Source organism: Homo sapiens, chromosome 19 (assembly GCF_000001405.40).
Source record: "Homo sapiens chromosome 19, GRCh38.p14 Primary Assembly".
NCBI classification, from domain to species: domain Eukaryota; kingdom Metazoa; phylum Chordata; class Mammalia; order Primates; family Hominidae; genus Homo; species Homo sapiens.
The window spans coordinates 2,087,779-2,104,043 of record NC_000019.10 but is presented as its reverse complement, the minus strand read 5'-3'; the positions used below and the strand labels follow the sequence as shown (position 1 = coordinate 2,104,043).

Below are 16,265 nucleotides of genomic sequence, written 5' to 3'. Positions count from 1 at the left end.
TTGGGGTCTTGAGCGTGGGGTCTTGGCATTGGTGCTTCAGCATTAGGGTCTGGGTGTTAGTGTCTTGGTGTTTGGTCTGCTGATGGCCTTGGCATTGGTGCCTTGGTGTTGGCATCTGGGTGATGTGATCTTGGCATTGGGGTCTACCGACGGCCTTGCCATTAGTGCCTTAGCACTGGTGTCTTGGTGTTGGTGCCTTGGCACTGGGGTCTTGGCACTGGGGTCTGCCGAGGGCCTCTCTGTATGAGTGGATTCTCCTGGTCGTTTTCCGTGGAGTGCTGTGAGCCTCTGGGCCTTGTTCCATCCTGTGGAGGACGTGGGTGGTCAGGTCCCAGCTGCAAGTCCCCCCTGCCTTCTGGGGACTGTGGCCCCAAGCACACCACCACCTGCCCAGCCTCTCCTGTCAGTGCTGCCTCTTGTCCCTGGCCTTGGGACCCGGCAGCGGCCTCTGGACTCAGTGCCTTCGGTTGCTCTTTGGAACGGGATCCGCAGCATGGAGTGAGCCTAGCAGATCGTGAGCAGCTTCACGGGGTGGCTTTCCCCGCGTACCTCCCTCTCTGGGGGCTCTGGTTACCCCACTCCACTGGCTTCTTCCACAGTCACTTCAGGGGCCCAGTGGCAGGAGGGCGGAAGGACAGACAGTGCTCAACTGTCTGCTAGCTCAGGAGCTCTTCGGATTCTGGTCTTCATCCCCGGCTGCCTCTGGCTGCCTCAGGGCCCTCAGGTGCCGGCTCCCACTTCTATGTAGGCTGGAGCCCCTCCCACGGGAGACCCAGGTGCCTTGGGCCGCTCCCTCACCCGAGCCCTTCCCATTTTTTTTTTTAATAATTAGCAAATTCGCAAAATTAAAAGGACAACACATACAGCTGCGAGGCAATATTTGCACATAGTGTTTTTTTGTTTGTTTTTTAATTTTTTTGAGGTAGGAACTCACTCTTATCGCCCAGGCTGGTGTGCAGTGGTGCAAACACGGCTCACTGCAACTTCACCCTCCTGGGCTCAAGCGACCCTCCCGCCTCAGCCTCCCGCATAGCTGGGACCACAGGCATGAGCCATCCGGCCTGGCCTGCATGTACTTTTATTTATTTATTTTTGAGATGGAGTTTTGCTCTTGTTGCCCAGGCTGGAGTGTGGTGGAATGATCTCAACTCACATGCAACCTCCACCCCCTGGGTTCAAGAGAGTCTCCTGCTTCAGCCTCCCAAGTAGCTGGGATTACAGGTGTCCTGCCACGATGCCCGGCACATTTTTTATTTTTATTTTATTTATTTATTTATTTATTTATTTATTTATTTATTTATTTATTTATTTATTTTTTGAGACAGTCTCGCTGTGTCGCCCAGGCTGGAGTGCAGTGGCGCGATCTCGGCTCACTGCAAGGTCCACCTCCCGGGTTCACGCCATTCTCCTGCCTCAGCCTCCCATGTAGCTGGGACTACAGGCACCCGCCACCCTGCCTGGCTAATTTTTTATATTTTTAGTAGAGACGGGGTTTCACCCTGTTAGCCAGGATGGTCTCAATATCCTGACCTGGTGATCTGCCTGCCTCAGCCTCCTAAAGTGCTGGGATTACAGGCGTGAGCCACCGCACCCGGCCATTTTTTGTATTTTTAGTAGAGACAGGGTTTCACCGTGTTGACCAGGCTGGTTTTGAACTCCTGACCTCAGGTGATCCACCCACCTTGGCCTCCCAAAATGCTGGGATCACAGACTTGAGCCACCGTGCCTAGCCCCTGCACACACTTTTAAAATATCCATCTTTTTTCCTTACACAGGGTGAGAACTCTGTCTCAGTCGACGGGAAGTGCAGTGACTCCACGCTACTGAGCAACTTGTTAGAAGAGATGAAGGCGACGCTGGCCAAGTGTTGAGAGCTGCCTGCGAGCCCCGCACCACCCCGCGGAGCACGTACCCAGGGACCGCAGCCCTGACGTGTCTCGCCTCTCCTCAGTCGTGTGTACTGTACCCAAGCCTGAGTGTTAATTTAACTCTATGTTGTCCGCCGTGTAGACATCCGAGGTCATTTGTTGCGTTGAATTATCTGACCATCCTTTTTTACTGTGACTCTTCCCATTCTCTTTGGCAAGAAGTCCCCTTCTCGCCCCCAAACCAGCAAGGGACTCCCCCACCTGGGTCTGTGCCCTGCCCCGCGCTGGGGGCCGAGTCCTTGAATGTGGCTTCAGGGGCTCCTGTCCTGGGCCAGGGCCTGATGGGCACCACGTGAGGGGCACTTGGTGGACAGGGCGGGGCTGACGTGGCCTCCTCTGGGGTCGCCTGCTTTTGACCCAAAGGTCCTGACGGTTGCGTCCGGGGGAGGGGAAGGAAGGGCCGCTGTCGCCAAGGTTTTCTCTCCCAGAACCCACAGTGGGAAAGCGGTCTTGCCAGGCGTTGTCCATTGTCAGTGTGCTCGTGGGCTGGTGACTGGGTCTTGGGATCCCAGGCCACGCGCCAGCCAGGCTGTGGGCAGGGCGGGGCCAGGGACGCCAAAGAGAGGTTGCAGTCAGAACCGTGGACGGGGTGGGTTGAGGCCTCTCTGCCACCCGTCTTCCTGGTCAGCAGAAGTGCATCTCGGCTTGGGTTTGGGGTGGTCCGCATCCCCTGCTTGCCACTATGCGCACCAAGGTTTCCCCACATCCTTCCCAGCACCCTTAGGAAGGCCCAGGCAGGGCCTGGAAGCAGCGGACCTGGGCTGTTCTGTGTTGAAGGAGTGTGCCCAGTGCCCTTGGGCAGGACCTGTGAGAGCCACCTCACAGGCAGAGCCCCCACCAGGCAGGGCAAGGAGACTCCGCTCACTCCCCACGGCCAGCGTGGGCACAGGACTGACCCTTCTTCAGAGATAATGACATTTTATCTTCTCCTTTTGATGAAAACTGTCACTTTAGCATGTAATCCATTACAGAATCCCATGCAGTGATTCCAGGATTTGAAATTGTATGATGTGTTACATAAGAATTTATTTGCTATCGACATTCCCGTATAAAGAGAGAGACATATCACGCTGCTGTCATGATTTTGTGTCAAGATGATCCAATAAAGTTGTAAAACAGGCATTTCCACATGGGTCTTCTGCCTGGCCTGGGTCATGCAGCGCTGCAGGACTGGAGCCTCTGCACCTCAGCTCACGGGCCCTTGGGAGGGGGCCTCGGTCCCCAGCACCATCCAGGCCTGGGGCTCGGGCAGTCACAGGCCAGGGAGTCCCCCACCCCGTGGTGGCCTCGGTCCCCAGCATCTCCACCCAAGGCCGTGCAGGGGAGCAGGTGCCTGCTTTCCCTCCCCTTCCCCAGGAGCCCCCGGGGCAGGGGCAGATCCAGAATTGAGAACCGCGGAAGAGCAGCCACCCCACCCCTGGGTGAATTTGCCTCCTTTACACCAGCCTTACACCTTGAAGACGGGAGCCTCGAGCAAGGTGACGCTGGGTCAGTGAAGGGAAGCCCCTGTCCACTCTAACCCAAGACGCGGCCGTGGTGGCGGGCGTTGGATGTCAGGGGGCTCAGAGCAGCACAGACGGGACCCCAGCCCCGGCCCACACCAGCATCCTTTCTAGAAAACCATGCCTTGAAAGCACCTGCCGCGAGCCTCTTTGCCGTTACCTAAACACGCTTGCCGGCCTCGAAAGCAGCATCCTTCACAGCCAGGACCCAGCGCCATCACTCCTGACACTGTCCCCAGTGGCCACTACCACATTCTCCCCCAACATGCGTGTGGCTCCCATGTCCCAGGGAGCCTGGGAGGCACTCGGTGACCTTCCCACACGCCGTTCCTGACCTCAGCAAATGTGCCCGTGCACCCCTCCCGTGACGGGAGCCTGAGGCGGCCACAAGACAGTGTGTGGGACCCATGGTGGCAGCAACAGTGTGCTCGAGGATGTTCTTGCTGGTGTCCTGCAGCCGCCCCAATGCCGGAGCAAAGGGACGCTCGAGGAAGCAAGGAGACTGCCGGGCTGAGGTCGCCCGAGTGAGAATGGGACTTGGAGCTGCGCCCCTGCACAGATGGAACACGACTCCCTCCCTCCTGTGTGTCAGGCCCCATCAGCCAGAGTCAGGCCGTCGTGGCCCCGACTCTGGCCATGATGCCACGCCTGTCACTGCCACAGATGAGACAGCCCATAGTTCCTGCGTTCCTTGGCTCGGGTCTGACGTAAGTGACTGCAACACCTAAACGCACTAGTGCTGGCCCTGGTCTCAACCACACTGTGGCCTCGCTTTGGGTGGAAGAACCCAGGTGCTCTGTGGGCTTGTGTGAGCCTACCCATGTGTGCTCAGGTGGGCCACGGCCCCACACCTAGGAGTCCGGGGACACTCCCTGAGGCCCTGTGAGTGTGGCTCCAAGTCGGTCCCTCATGGCTGTGGACCCAAGGCCAGGACCTGCCCTGCTCTGTCTGGGACCTTTAGGCCTCCCCAGAAGCCCACCTCCAGCCCCTAGAGGCTTCCCCCTGCCCCAACAAGAACTCTTCTGCAAAGAGAAACATCAGGGACTTTAATCACATCCCGCAGCTCTGCGGACCTGCCCAGGCGCTGATGCTGCGCACAGCCCACCCCCATTCCCTCCCTCCCGCCCTCCTGGCCCTGGCCAGCTCAGCTCTGTCCGGGGTCGGAGAGGGGGTCCTGAGGCAGCAGCAGCCCAGCTCCAGAGTGACAGGCAGGGGCTGTCCAGCTGAGTCTCCGCCCCCACGTTGCCCTGGGGCAGGCCCAGCTGCTGTCAGTGCTGCTTGAGACACTCAGCAGCATCTTCCAAGGTCAGGTTGGCCAAGTGTGGGGGCTCCAGACACCTTAAGGCTGGCGATACCAGGCTGCGGGGAGACGAGGCTGCCTCAGCTCTCCATGTCCCCCACCCCCTGCCTCCCTCCCTGGGGGCCCCAGGCCTCTCCTCCCAGCTGGGACGTGTGGTCCTATGTGTGGCCACATCCACGACACCCTCGTGCCTGGGATGTCAGCAGGGTGTGCAGGCCGCGGCACGCTGGTGTTGGCTTACGAGCACCCCTTCTCCCGAGGCCTCCCTTCTCTGGGTCACTCACAAGGCCGGGGTGGCTCTGTGTGTCCCAGGCCAGGAGAAGGCAGAGGAGCGTGGTCTGTTCATGAAACCACCACATGGGTGTGGTTGCAGAGGTGACATCCAGCAGGTGTCCCAGGTATAGGGAGAGCCCCACCTGCAGTGCCCCCACTGATCTAGAGGACCCCCTAGCCCCCCTCCTCTCTCCCTTTACCCCCTCCCCCTGAAGTCCAGGTCAGGGCGGCCTTACCTCATGCTCGTGTCCTGTCTGAAAGGCAATGTGGGGCAGTCAGCCCCTCCATGGGGCACCCCTAACCATCGTAGGGAACCCTCCCAGGCTCTGACCACAGACCTGGGATGGGGTGGAACCAGACCCTATGGGGACCCTTTAGGAAAGATGCCCGCCTCCAGCTGAGGGTCGGAGACCTTTGAGGGAGAAAAGGACTGCAGCCGCCTCCTGCGCAGAGCTGGGTTGAGGTTCCACCTCCTCGGGAGCCCCTCTAGGACGTGGGAGCTGAGGGAGCCAGCCTGTGCCCCACACATACTCACCCACGAGGTGCTCACATACACACACTGCCTGTGTTGGTTTGAGGAGGGGACTTACTTGTGCCAGTTATTTCTACAAAGACAGTGGGTTTGGACTCAGGAGGCCGAGTGGCCGTGGCCAGTGTTCCCTCCCAGGCCCAGGTGAGCTTGCTGCCACCCAAAGACCCCACTCACATGTAGTTCAGGAGGCCCTGGACAGCTGACTTCCACTGCGCCGAGGACCTGTGGGACACAGGCTTGGAAGTGGTGCGCCCCTGAACCCACGGCCCCGCCCTACCCGATGACAGCCAGGTGGAAGGCGGGGAGCCCCCTCCAAGGAGAGCCTGGGACCCCAGGGACAGTAGGGCCCTGGCACGGGTGGGTGTGATGCCTGAGCCCTACTCGCAGTTATAGCCAAAGCAGGCGACGTGCGAGTCTGTGCAGTTGTTGCAGGAGATGGTCTCGTACTGGAAGATGCCTGAAACACGTACAAGAGCCGCCAGGGCTCCCCTCAGCCTCCAGGGCCCCGAGCTGCCACCGGCACGCCCCTCAGCCTGGACGGAGCCTTGCTTACCACAGCGGTGCTGACAGTCGATGCGGCCTGTGGGAGGGCAGGACAGCGCCATCTTACCAGGCCCAGCCTTGTCCCCAGTCCTGCCTCCTCCCAACCCTCCAAAGCCTCAGGGCCTGTCCCTCGGCACTGGGGCCCAGGCTCACCTGGTTTTCATGTATGTGTGTCCATGGCCCGGAGGGAAGGGGTCCCCAGGTTGACCCCCAGCGTGAGATGGAGCAAACTTCAGGGGAGGGCGGTGGCAACACTCCCAGCGCCTCTGGGGGCTACTTAGGGGAGGTCCCCGCGGGGTGATGGCATTGATCCTTCAGGTGCTAGGCTGGGTCCCTCCCTGGAGAGCTGCCCTCCTCCCCAGCTGCCTGGTGCCAGGTGCCCTGTTCACATCACTCCAGCCTCAGCCAAGCCCCGTGGGTCTCCGAGGCTCTGGGCAACACCTCCCTCCTCTGAAGCCTTATTTGCTCACTTTCGATGATGGCGTTCTGGATGAGGTGCACCTGCTCCCGGAAGATGTTTCGCAGCTCGTTGGGGAAATACCCTGAGTCGTCGAGGCAGGAGAAGGTCAGGCTCAGGCGGTGGGCGGGGTGTCCCGGGGTGGGGGGGCCCCGCCTCGGTTTCGCGCCCCTTACCGGGGAAGTACATCTTCCCCTGGTACAGCTGATCCATCATCTGGTACACTGCTGTCGCCACTTGGTCCAGCTTCTCCCGGGCTGCGGGCAGGAGGAGAAGCCAGGTGACCGGCCTGCCCCGGGGTCTCGCTGGCGGGGTAGTCGGGACTGGGCTGGGCTCCGGCACTCACTGATCTTGGCGGGGATGGCCAGGTGCAGCTCCTTCATCGTGTCGTCGCTCCAGTCGGTGAGCAGCGCCCCTGACACGGGGATGTCGCCCACCCACCAGGACTTGAAGTTCACATGGTGGCGGTAGAAGGAGAACTTCTTGGAGAAGTTGCTGTGGCAGTGCAGACAGCCGTGGGCCAGCGCCGCCGTCAGGCACACCAGGCACAGCAGCAGGGCCATGCCCGTCCCGGCCCGCCGCCGGCCAACCAACGACGCTGCTCGCGCCACACCCTTCAGCCGCGCACCAACCAACGGCCCCCACTCGGGCGCTTGGCCGTGTCTCCTCCCCCGCCCGCCCCACCAGCGCAGGCCCCGCCCCATCCCAGGCCCAGCCCCGCCTCCGTCCTCAGCCGACTACTGACGGCGCCGGCTCCGCCTCCAGGCCCCGCCCACGACCCGCCCCTCAGAAGACTCCGCCACTGGGTGGGCCCCGCCCCAAGGCCGCGCCCTACGCATGCGCCAATGGCCCGTGCCTGTGCCAATGGCCGGTGCCCGCTCCTCGGCCGGCTCCCGCTGAGGCCCCGCCCCGTGTCGCAGCCACGGTGCAGGCTCCGCCCACAGGCCGCGGCCCCGGTTGCTAGGCAACGGAGACCTCCGCCCGGCCCGGCTCAGGGCATCCCAGGGCTGCTGCCCGGAACTTGGCTCCGTGCGCCTTCGCCGCCCGGGCCCCTTAAAGCCCGCGGGACCGAGTCTGGGAGACCCCTGCACGCCGCTTCTGCGCGGAGCCCCGGGCCCTTTAAGGAAAGTAGGTCCGGTCCGCGGGTGCGGTCGGGCATGCGTGTGGGGCGTTCCCGCGGCCGTGTCCCTCCGCGGCGGCTGCGAGGCGGTGCGGCGGCTGAGGCGGCCGAGGCGGCCAGTTGGGTACCGGGAGGGGCGAAGGCGGGCGGCAGAGGCGATCAGGTGGGTGTCCGGGAGGGGCGAAGGCGGGCGGCAGAGGCGGCCAGGTGGGTGCCCGGGAGGGGTGAACTTAGGCGGCGAGGAGACCGAGTTCTCAGGAAGGGCGAACCCTGGCGGCGGGGAAGCTGGATCCCTCAGACGGGCGAACTTAGGCTACGGGGAGGCCGAGCCTTCAGGAAGGGCGAGGCCGGGCGCGGTGGCTCACGCCTGTAATCCCAGCACTTTGGGAGGCCGACGCGGGTGGATCACCTGAGGTCGGGAGTTCGAGACCAGTCTGGCCAACATGGTGAAACCCCGTCTGTACCAAAAATACAAAATTAGCCGGACGAGGTGGCGCGCACCTGTAATCCCAGCTGCTGAGGAGGCTGAGGCAGGAGAATCACTTGAACCCAGGAGGCAGAGGTTGCAGTGAGCCGAGATCACATCACTGCACTCCAGCCTGGGCAACCAGAGCGGGGGAAAAAAAAAAAAGAACAAAAGAAAAAAGAAAAAAGGAAGGGCGAACTCAGGCGGCAGGGAAGCCGGATCCTTCAGGAGGGGTGAACTTAGGCGGCGAGGAGGCCGATCCCCCAGGAGGGGCGAACGCGGGCGGCGGGGAGACCGATTACCCCGGAGGGGGATACAGGGTGCGGGGTCGAGCTGCGGGGGTGAACTCCTGGCCCTGCCCGCTGCCCTCCCGCAGGACCCCGCACCTCCCGGTGTGGATTAAAATTCTGCAGGGCTTCAGGATCCCCAAGCCAACGCGGCGGTCGGGCCCTTTCGAATAGGCCCTTCTTGCTCGGGGTCCCCAAAGTCGCTGGCAGGGCCCCCCCACCCCGGAAGGAGGCGCCCGCCAGGGACAAGCTGCCCCTCCTCCCTGCAGCGAAGAGGGGCTAGAAAGTGTAAGCGAGGGTGCATTTTATTAGGAGTCACTGAGAGGGGAGGGGAAATTGGAAAATGCAGTCACAGAGCAGAAAATCAGTGCTCCAAGCCGCAGCTCATCCTGGGGGTAAGATTTCCAGTCTTTGTACACACTGTTTTTTTGTTTGTTTGTTTGTTTGTTTGTTTGTTTTTGAGACGGAGTTTGGAGTCTCACTCACGCCCAGGCTGGAGAGCAGTGGCGCGATCTCTGCTCACTGCAAACTCTGCCTCCCGGGTGCAAGTGATCCTCCTGCCTCAGCCTCCTGAGTAGCTGGGATTACAGGCGCCAACCACCACACCCAGTTAATTTTTGTACTTTTAGTAGAGACGGAGTTTCGCCATGTTGGCCAGGCTGGTCTTGAGCTCCTGACCTCAGGTGATCCGCCCGCCTCGGCCTCCCAAAGTGCTGGGATTACAGGCGTGAGCCACCGCGCCCGGCCCACACTGCTTTTTTCGCACTTGCTTTTTTCTTCGTTTTCTCCTTAACAGTTTATACGGGTTTAATTGACATGCAATAAACTGCCCGTATTCAAAGCAGATGGTTGGATAAATGTTGACATTGTGTTTTGCGTGTTTCACATCCCATCTGTGCTTTCTGCTTTGGGAGTTGCCTCCTGCATAGGCAGCGGGGAGTGCCCTGGCCGCCCTCTAGGCCGTGGTCCCAAGACCGCCTTCCTTCTTGTGCATCACGCAGTCACAGGGGCTTCCCTTTTACGGAAGAGGCGCTGGGACGCAGAGCTGAGGAGCTGCTGAAGGCTGGAGCCGTCAGAGCCCACAGTGATGCCTTGAGGAACTAGTCATTCATTTCCCTGCGTGTGTGGGATGATCTAGGTTTTGACCCGTGAGACAAAACCCACCTTCCGTTTCTGTTCTCCTGGATTCACTTCCTTTCCAGGCCTGGTCTTGCTTTCATGTAGGGGAAGCTGGATGTTTATTTGTTCGGTTGGTTGGTTTGCTGGTTGTTTCAGAAGTGCAAGAGGGTGGCCCGGCGCAGTCGTTCGTGCCTGTGATCCCAACACTTTGGGAGGCTGAGGCGGGTGGATCACGAGGTCAGGAGATCGAGACCATACTGGCTAACACAGTGAAACCCCGTCTCTACTAAAAAGACAAAAAAATTAGCCGGGCGTGGCGGCGGGTGCCCGTAGTCCCAGCTACTCGGGAGGCTGAGGCAAGAGAATGGCATGAACCCTGGAGGCGAAGCCTGCAGTGAGCCGAGATCGCACCACTGCACTCCAGCCTGGGCGACAGAGTGAGACTCTGTCTCAAAAAAAAAAAAAAAAAAAAAAAGAACTTACATAGGGAAGGAAGGAGGGCTGGATGAGCCCCCCGGGCTGTCAGAGTTGCAGAGTTGCAGCCCTGAGAACTTCCAGAAGCCGGGTTCTTAACCGCAGTTGTCAGGGACCTGTTTATTAGAACTCACTGAGATCTACCGATTACAGAGTGAGAACTAAGAAAGTGAAATCCCAGCATGTCACGTCCCTGTCCTCCGGACCCCCTGGATGTGTTTCCCTTTCCCCAGGGACGACACAGGCACCCACCTCAAGCAACACCCGTTCCACTGCACCCTTCCCAGCTCCCTCTCTTTCCACAGGTTGATTTTTCTCTTTTAACTCTGGAGCTGAGCTTACTACCTGTGGCTGTGGAGGCCTTGCAATGTGGCTGGTCCGAATTGGGATGTGCTGGCCAGGTGCGGGTGGCTCATACCTGTAATCCCAGCACTTTGGGAGGCCGAGGAGAGCAGATCACCTGAGGTCAGGCATTCAAGACCAGCCTGGCCAACATGGCAAAACCCCATCTCTACTAAATACACAGCCAGGCACACGCTGGACCACAGCCACCCACTGTGTGTTCCAGAGACTTCTCTGGGATTCCGAAAGGCAGAAGTGAAGGCCTCCTCCCAGAATCCCGTTTCTGAAGTCGGATTTGCCTTTTCAGCTTAAGCCATTTGACCTTCTAAATGCCAGGAAGACAGGAACAGAGCTCATCGGCTGAGGAATACAAAATTTACCCGGGCATGCTGGCGCGTGCCTGTAGTCCCAGCTACTCAGGAGGCTGAGGCAGGAGAATCACTTGAACCCGGGAGGCGGAGCTTGCAGTGAGCCAAGATCACGCCACTGCACTCCAGCCTGGGCAACAGAGTAAGACAACGTCTCGAAAAAAAAAAAAATTCCCTTCCAAGGAGGTATCCTCCCACCTTAGGGACCTGATGGTGGAGGTTTCAGAAAAATTCCCCACACAGCTGACTGAGCTTGGGGTTTTAAGGTGGGGAGTTTTAGACCTTCCCCAGCCGATGAGCTCTGTTCCTGTTTTCCTGGCATTTAGAAGGTCAAATGGCTTAAGCCGAAAAGGTAAATCCGACTTCAGAAACGGGATTCTGGGAGGAGGCCTTCACTTCTGCCTTTCGGAGTCCCAGAGAAGTCTCTGGAACACACAGTGGGTGGCTGTGGTCCAGCGTGTGCCTGGCTGCACACAAAAGAAAGCTGAACTTGGGTTTTCTTTCAGACTTTGACACAATACCTTCTGGGGACCATGCCTGGCCTCTTCCCTTTTCCTTTTTTTTTTTTTTTTTTTTTTTGAGATGGAGTTTCTCTTGCCCAGGCTGGAGTGCAGTGGCGCAACCAGGGCCCACTGCAGCCTCCGCCTCCTGAGCTCAAGAGATTCTCGTGCCTCAGCCTCCTGAGTAGCTGGGATTACAGGCATGCGCCACCACGCCCGGCTAATTTTTTGGTGTTTTAGTAGAGACTGGATTTCACCATGTTGCCCAGCTCAGGCAGTCTGCCTGCCTCAGCCTCCCAAAGTGCTGGGATTACAGGCGTAAGCCACCGCGCCTCACCCCCTTTTCCTTTTGAGTATATCAAAATGACTGTTTTTTTCCTTATATACCCAGACTGGGAAAAGTATGTCAGTTTACCACAAAGATTCACAGAGGGTCGGGCGCTATGGCTCATGCCTGTGATCCCAGCACTCTGGGAGGCCAAGGCAGAAGGATAGCTTGAACCCAGGAGTTTGAGACCAGCCTGGGCAACATAGTAAGACCCCATCTCTACCAAAAATACAAAAGTTAGCTGGGCGTGGTGGCGTGCACCTGTGGTCCCAGCTACTTGAGAGGCTGAGGTGGGAGGGTCATTTGAGCCCAGGAGGTTGAGGCTGCAGTGAGCCGTGATTGCACCACTGCACTCCAGCCTGGGGGATAGAGCGAAACCTCATCTCAAACAAACAGGCAGCTAAAAAAAAAAAAAAAAAAAACCTTTCCTTCCAGACACAATAGTTCCTTATTTTTTTTCATGGTTGTAGCAATTTATTATTCTTTCTTTCTCTTTTTTTTTTCTGTTACAGACAGAGTTTTGCTCGTCGCCCAGGCTGGAGTGCAGTGGCACAATCTCGGCTCACTGCAACCTCCGCCTCCCAGGTTCAAGCGATTCTCCTGTCTCAGCCTCCTGAATAGCTGGGATTACAGGCGCCCGCCACCACGCCTGGCTAATTTTTGTATTTTTAGTAGAGACAGGGTTTCACCATCTCGGCCAGGCCAGTCTCAAACTCCTGACCTTGTGATCCACCTGCCTTGGCCTCCCAAAGTGCTGGGATTACAGGCATGAGCCACCGCACCCCGGCTTTTATTCCTTCTTTAACAAAAAAGGTCTTAGAGCCTGGGCGCAGTAGCTCACGCCTGTAATCCCAGCACTTTGGGAGGCCGAGGTGGGTGGATCACTTGAGGTCAGGAGTTTGAGACCAGCCTGGCCAACATGGTGGAACCCCGTCTCTACCAAAAATACAAAAATTAGCTGGGCGTAGTGGCGGGCGCCTGTAATCCCAGCTACTTGGGAGGCTGAGGCAGGAGAATTGCTTGAGCCCGGGAGGCAGAGCTTGCAGTGAGCCGAGATTGCGCCACTGCACTCCAGCCTGGGTGACAGAGCAAGACTCGGTCTCCAAAAAAGAAAAAAAGGTCTGGGTATCCATACTGTTTTGCAACTTATTTTTTGCACTTATCGGATATTGGGTGTCCTTCCGTGTCAGAGCCTGTGTCTCATTCTTCTTAAAACTGTGTGGCCGGGCCGTCCTGGGTTACACAAGGATGAGAAGTCTCCTCTGGGTTGAGAGGTTTTGGCTCAAGTTTAAGGCTTTTCTTTCCAGCCAGATGGGCTTGGGAATGACTCTGCAGGAAGCGCGTGTTCCCCTGATCTGGCCAGCAGCCGGCACTGGAATCTTGGTTGTAGGGTTACTTACTGCAGGGGTCAGTTTCACGGAGGTTTCCCTCCCTTTTCTTCCCCACAGGTTGTGGGTTTTCTCTTAGGTCTTCTGGCTTTAATGCAGAGCTTTATATTCAGCTTATTAGTTTTAAAAGTGTGTTAAAATAATGCACGTATTTTGGCCGGGCGCGGTGGCTCACGCCTGTAATCCCAACACTTTGGGAGGCCAAGGTGGGCGGATCACGAGGTCAGGAGATCGAGACCATCCTGACTAACACGGTGAAACCCCGTCTCTACTAAAAATTCAAAAATTAGCTGAGCACGGTTGCAGGCAGCTGTAATCCCAGCTACTCGGGAGGCTGAGGCAGGAGAATGGCGTGAACCCAGTAGGCGGAGGTTGCAGTGAGACGAGATCGCGCCACTGCACTCCAGCCTGGGCAACAGAGCGAGACTCCGTCTTAAAAAAAAAAATAACGTATTTGTATCATTGCTATGTTTAATGTCGTATTTCATTGACCATAAGTCCCACAGGGAAGGAGGAAGTTGTTACTTCCTGTGTGGGGCTGGGGCCAGGGTCTCCCCCTGGGTATTGAGTCATTCTCTGGGGTGGAGTGTCCTGGGCACTGCAGGGTGCTGAGTAGCGTTCCTGGCCTCCACCCACTCCATGCCAGGAGTTCCCCCAAAACCTGACAACCACAGATGTCCCCAGACATCGTCCGGTGTTGAGGGGCAGAATCTTCACCGTGTTCAGGCCTGTGGGGGCAGGGGGCAGGGTGGTCTATCCCTGACTCAGCCCGCCAACATCCTCTGGGCCACGAGGCAAATGAGAAGAAAAAGGAAGTGGTCGGGGGTGTGAGCCACTCCAAGCACAGACAATTCCCACCGGGGACAAAGGGATGGGCTGAGCTGGGACACCTGGGTGGGGAGTCGCACCCTACGTGCCCTGGAGAACCAAGGCAGCCTGAGTCACCATGCCAGCTCTGCCGGGCTGCAGATGCTGGTTTCAGAAGCGCCTGGCAGCTGCGGAGCTCTGGGGATGCGGACTTGGCTGGGCTAAGATGGATCGGGTATCGGGGCCCCCAGAATCCCCTCAGTGGAGTCCCTGGTAGATTAGATCAGAGGGGAAGCTGCCAATCTAGCTGAGGTCTTGCCCCAGGGCAGTTTTGCCCCCAGGGGACTTGGAAATACGGGGCAGTGCGGGGGGTGCATTTGTGTTTGTCACAACTAGAGGAGGGGCTGCCCCTGGCATGGAGTGGGTGGAGGCCAGGGACATTGCTCAGCACCTGCAGTGCCCAGGACAAACTCACCCAGAGAAGGATCCAGCCCTGAATGCCAAGTGGGGGACTGCATTAGTTATTTGGGAAAAAAAAATCAAGTCTGCTCCCTGCTCACACCAGACACCAGAATAAACTCCCAATATGGCAGACGGTGTAAACCAGGGGACCTCAGCTCCTGGGATTCTCTTCCTCTCCCCCTCTGTGGATTTCAATGTGTGTAGCCTCCTGGGACCTCAGCAGAGCAGAGGATCATGGGCCACGGAGTCTCTTGGGGGTCCGTGGAATCCCCTAACCCAAGAGGTGTCAATTGAGGGTAATTCTGCCCCCAGGGGACACTGGGCCAAGTCTGGGACATTTGTGTTTTTCTCATGACTGGGGGTGCTCCTGGCATGGAGTGGGTGGAGGCCAGGGACGCTGCTCAGCACCCTGCAGTGCCCAGGATGGCCCCTCCCCAGAGAGTGACCCACGCCGATGTCCACAGTGCAGAGAGTGGAAACGCTGCCCTAGTGGCAGACGCAGCAGATTCAGAATTGAAGGATCTGAGTTCAAGCCCAGACTTGTACCTTTTACCTCCCACCCTCAGGCGAGGCAACTGGCCTCAGCTTCTGGACGTGCAGCACGGGTGAGCCCCTCCCGCCAGCCAGGAAATGATGAGTTTCACGAGAGCAGGTCCTCCAGGGCCCCAGCAAATGCCAGGCCTGTTTACTAATGACAGCAAAGGTCCACCATCACTTAGCAGGAATGAGAGCATTCGCTTTCAGCCTGCCCTGCCAGCCTCACAGGGCTGCGGCATGAACCCCTGTAGGGTTAGTTTATGAGTGCGTAGGGAAGTGCTCCCCAGAAAGCAGGAGAAACACGGATGGCCAGATACACGTTTGAGCCTCTGACAACTACAGTCACTGTGTACTAACTAGTGGTGAGGTTGGCAATTTGTAAAAATTACTCATTAAAGAGGGAGACAGAGCCAGGCTCCGTGGCTCATGTCTATAATCCCAGCACTTTGGGAGGCCAAGGTGGGAGGACTGCTCGAGGTCAGGAGTTTAAGACCAGCCTGGACAACATAGCAAGACCCCCGTCTCTACAAAAAATACAAAAATTGCCGGGTGTGGTGGCTCATGCCTGTAATCCCAGCACTTTGGGAGGTCGAGGCGGGCGGATCATGAGGTCAGGAGTTGGAGACCAGCCTGGCCAATATGGTGAAACCCTGTCTCTACTAAAAATACAAAAAAAATTAGCTGGGTGTGGTGGTGCGCACCTGTAGTCCCAGCTACTCAGGAGGCTGAGGCAGAAGAATCCTTGAACCCGTGAGGCGGAGGTTGCAGTGAGCCAAGATCGCACCACTGCACTCCAACCTGGGCAACACAGCGGGACCCCATCTCAAAAAAGAAAAAAAATAGAAAAATTATCTGGACGCACGCCAGGAGTCCCAGCTACGCAGGAGGCTGAGGTGGGAGGATTGCTTGAGCCCCGGAGGTTGAGGCTGGAGTGGGCTGTGATTGTGCCACTGCACTCCAGCCTGGATGACAGAGCAAGACTTTGTCTCAAAAAATAAAATAAAGCAAACAAGAACAGTTAGATCCCCGGCCTTGCCACTCGCAGGACAAGCTTTGTCCCCCTCGGCACTGTGGACATTCAAGGCTGATTAGTCTCTGGGGTGGGGTATCCTGGGCACTGCAGGGCACTGGGCAGCATCCCTGGCCACCACCCACTCTGTGCCAGGAGCATCCTCCAGTTATGACAACCACAAATGCCCCCAGACATCACCCAGTATGAGTCCCCGGGGTGCAGAATCGCCCCCCAGGTGAGACCCCCACTGCAGCTGAGTGTGGCTGAGAGCTCTTCACAGTGGCCACGAGGAGGCGAGACTGGGGTGGGCCCCTGGCTCCCACTGGGCGGGCTCAGAGCATGGCTCCTGCCCCCACGTTCAGACTGAAGCCATCCAGGAGGCCAAGAAGGCGGTGCCAAGTCGGTGGTGCCCAGTCAAGCCCAGATCCTGCGGCCCTGGGTTAGGAAAAAGTTCCGTGAAAGGAGTGTGGCCCTGGGTTGGGATGGTAGCTTGGGGCGTTCCTCCCTGTGGCTTCCTCTT

The 16,265-nt window shown here is 58.2% G+C and overlaps 3 protein-coding genes across 13 annotated transcripts in view, besides 11 other annotated features; 2 read left to right on the top strand and 1 right to left on the bottom strand.

The window, feature by feature from the left end:
• Nucleotides 1–3,056, top strand: part of AP3D1 (adaptor related protein complex 3 subunit delta 1) — a 63,629-nt gene extending 60,573 nt beyond the window's left edge. For all 7 annotated transcript variants that reach the window (XM_047439598.1, XM_047439597.1, NM_003938.8 and 4 more), the window contains one exon: nucleotides 1,776–3,056. In XM_047439598.1, coding sequence (XP_047295554.1) covers nucleotides 1,776–1,871 — 96 coding nt within the window. In that variant the 3' untranslated portion in view covers nucleotides 1,872–3,056. The remainder of the gene's footprint in view (nucleotides 1–1,775) is intronic.
• On the bottom strand, nucleotides 4,454–7,129 carry IZUMO4 (IZUMO family member 4). Of its 3 annotated transcripts, NM_001039846.2 has the most exons (10): nucleotides 6,882–7,129; nucleotides 6,712–6,792; nucleotides 6,549–6,620; nucleotides 6,089–6,115; nucleotides 5,917–5,992; nucleotides 5,710–5,757; nucleotides 5,594–5,608; nucleotides 5,240–5,257; nucleotides 5,015–5,068; nucleotides 4,454–4,789 (listed from the first exon to the last, which is right to left on the bottom strand). In NM_001039846.2, the coding sequence occupies exons 1-10, from the start codon at nucleotides 7,096–7,098 to the stop codon at nucleotides 4,699–4,701; spliced, it is 699 nt and encodes a 232-aa protein (NP_001034935.1). In that variant the 5' UTR covers nucleotides 7,099–7,129; the 3' UTR covers nucleotides 4,454–4,698. The 3 variants fall into 3 exon arrangements, with proteins under 3 accessions (NP_001034935.1, NP_001026905.2, NP_001350517.1); NM_001031735.3 differs by lacking the exon at nucleotides 5,015–5,068; NM_001363588.2 differs by lacking the exons at nucleotides 5,015–5,068; nucleotides 5,240–5,257.
• Nucleotides 6,559–7,084: an enhancer, noted in NCBI's record as "H3K27ac-H3K4me1 hESC enhancer chr19:2096959-2097484 (GRCh37/hg19 assembly coordinates)". NCBI's record gives its function as "activates a minimal SCP1, AML or CMV promoter by ChIP-STARR-seq in naive H9 embryonic stem cells {active_cell/tissue: H9 hESC(naive)}" and the evidence as "EXISTENCE:reporter gene assay evidence [ECO:0000049][PMID:30033119]".
• Nucleotides 6,768–6,937: an enhancer, noted in NCBI's record as "active region_13656". NCBI's record gives its function as "activates an Ori minimal core promoter by ATAC-STARR-seq in GM12878 lymphoblastoid cells {active_cell/tissue: GM12878}" and the evidence as "EXISTENCE:reporter gene assay evidence [ECO:0000049][PMID:35858748]".
• Nucleotides 7,085–7,612: an enhancer, noted in NCBI's record as "H3K27ac-H3K4me1 hESC enhancer chr19:2096431-2096958 (GRCh37/hg19 assembly coordinates)". NCBI's record gives its function as "activates a minimal SCP1, AML or CMV promoter by ChIP-STARR-seq in naive H9 embryonic stem cells {active_cell/tissue: H9 hESC(naive)}" and the evidence as "EXISTENCE:reporter gene assay evidence [ECO:0000049][PMID:30033119]".
• Nucleotides 7,085–7,837: a biological region, named in NCBI's record as "H3K27ac-H3K4me1 hESC enhancer GRCh37_chr19:2096431-2096958".
• Nucleotides 7,178–7,837: a silencer, noted in NCBI's record as "silent region_9766". NCBI's record gives its function as "represses an Ori minimal core promoter by ATAC-STARR-seq in GM12878 lymphoblastoid cells {active_cell/tissue: GM12878}" and the evidence as "EXISTENCE:reporter gene assay evidence [ECO:0000049][PMID:35858748]".
• Nucleotides 7,529–16,265, top strand: part of MOB3A (MOB kinase activator 3A) — a 25,480-nt gene continuing 16,743 nt past the window's right edge. The window contains exon 1 of one of the 3 annotated variants that reach the window (XM_011527683.4): nucleotides 7,529–7,663. The gene's annotated coding sequence lies outside the window, so the exon portion shown is untranslated. Of the gene's footprint in view, nucleotides 7,664–7,717; nucleotides 8,804–16,265 lie in introns of those variants that run through there. The other 2 variants (NM_130807.3, XM_047438169.1) reach the window with 2 other exon arrangements.
• Nucleotides 9,138–9,217: an enhancer, noted in NCBI's record as "active region_13655". NCBI's record gives its function as "activates an Ori minimal core promoter by ATAC-STARR-seq in GM12878 lymphoblastoid cells {active_cell/tissue: GM12878}" and the evidence as "EXISTENCE:reporter gene assay evidence [ECO:0000049][PMID:35858748]".
• Nucleotides 13,414–13,463: an enhancer, noted in NCBI's record as "active region_13654". NCBI's record gives its function as "activates an Ori minimal core promoter by ATAC-STARR-seq in GM12878 lymphoblastoid cells {active_cell/tissue: GM12878}" and the evidence as "EXISTENCE:reporter gene assay evidence [ECO:0000049][PMID:35858748]".
• Nucleotides 14,012–14,974: an enhancer, noted in NCBI's record as "H3K27ac-H3K4me1 hESC enhancer chr19:2089069-2090031 (GRCh37/hg19 assembly coordinates)". NCBI's record gives its function as "activates a minimal SCP1, AML or CMV promoter by ChIP-STARR-seq in naive H9 embryonic stem cells {active_cell/tissue: H9 hESC(naive)}" and the evidence as "EXISTENCE:reporter gene assay evidence [ECO:0000049][PMID:30033119]".
• Nucleotides 14,534–14,793: an enhancer, noted in NCBI's record as "active region_13653". NCBI's record gives its function as "activates an Ori minimal core promoter by ATAC-STARR-seq in GM12878 lymphoblastoid cells {active_cell/tissue: GM12878}" and the evidence as "EXISTENCE:reporter gene assay evidence [ECO:0000049][PMID:35858748]".
• Nucleotides 15,154–15,213: an enhancer, noted in NCBI's record as "active region_13652". NCBI's record gives its function as "activates an Ori minimal core promoter by ATAC-STARR-seq in GM12878 lymphoblastoid cells {active_cell/tissue: GM12878}" and the evidence as "EXISTENCE:reporter gene assay evidence [ECO:0000049][PMID:35858748]".
• Nucleotides 16,095–16,224: an enhancer, noted in NCBI's record as "active region_13651". NCBI's record gives its function as "activates an Ori minimal core promoter by ATAC-STARR-seq in GM12878 lymphoblastoid cells {active_cell/tissue: GM12878}" and the evidence as "EXISTENCE:reporter gene assay evidence [ECO:0000049][PMID:35858748]".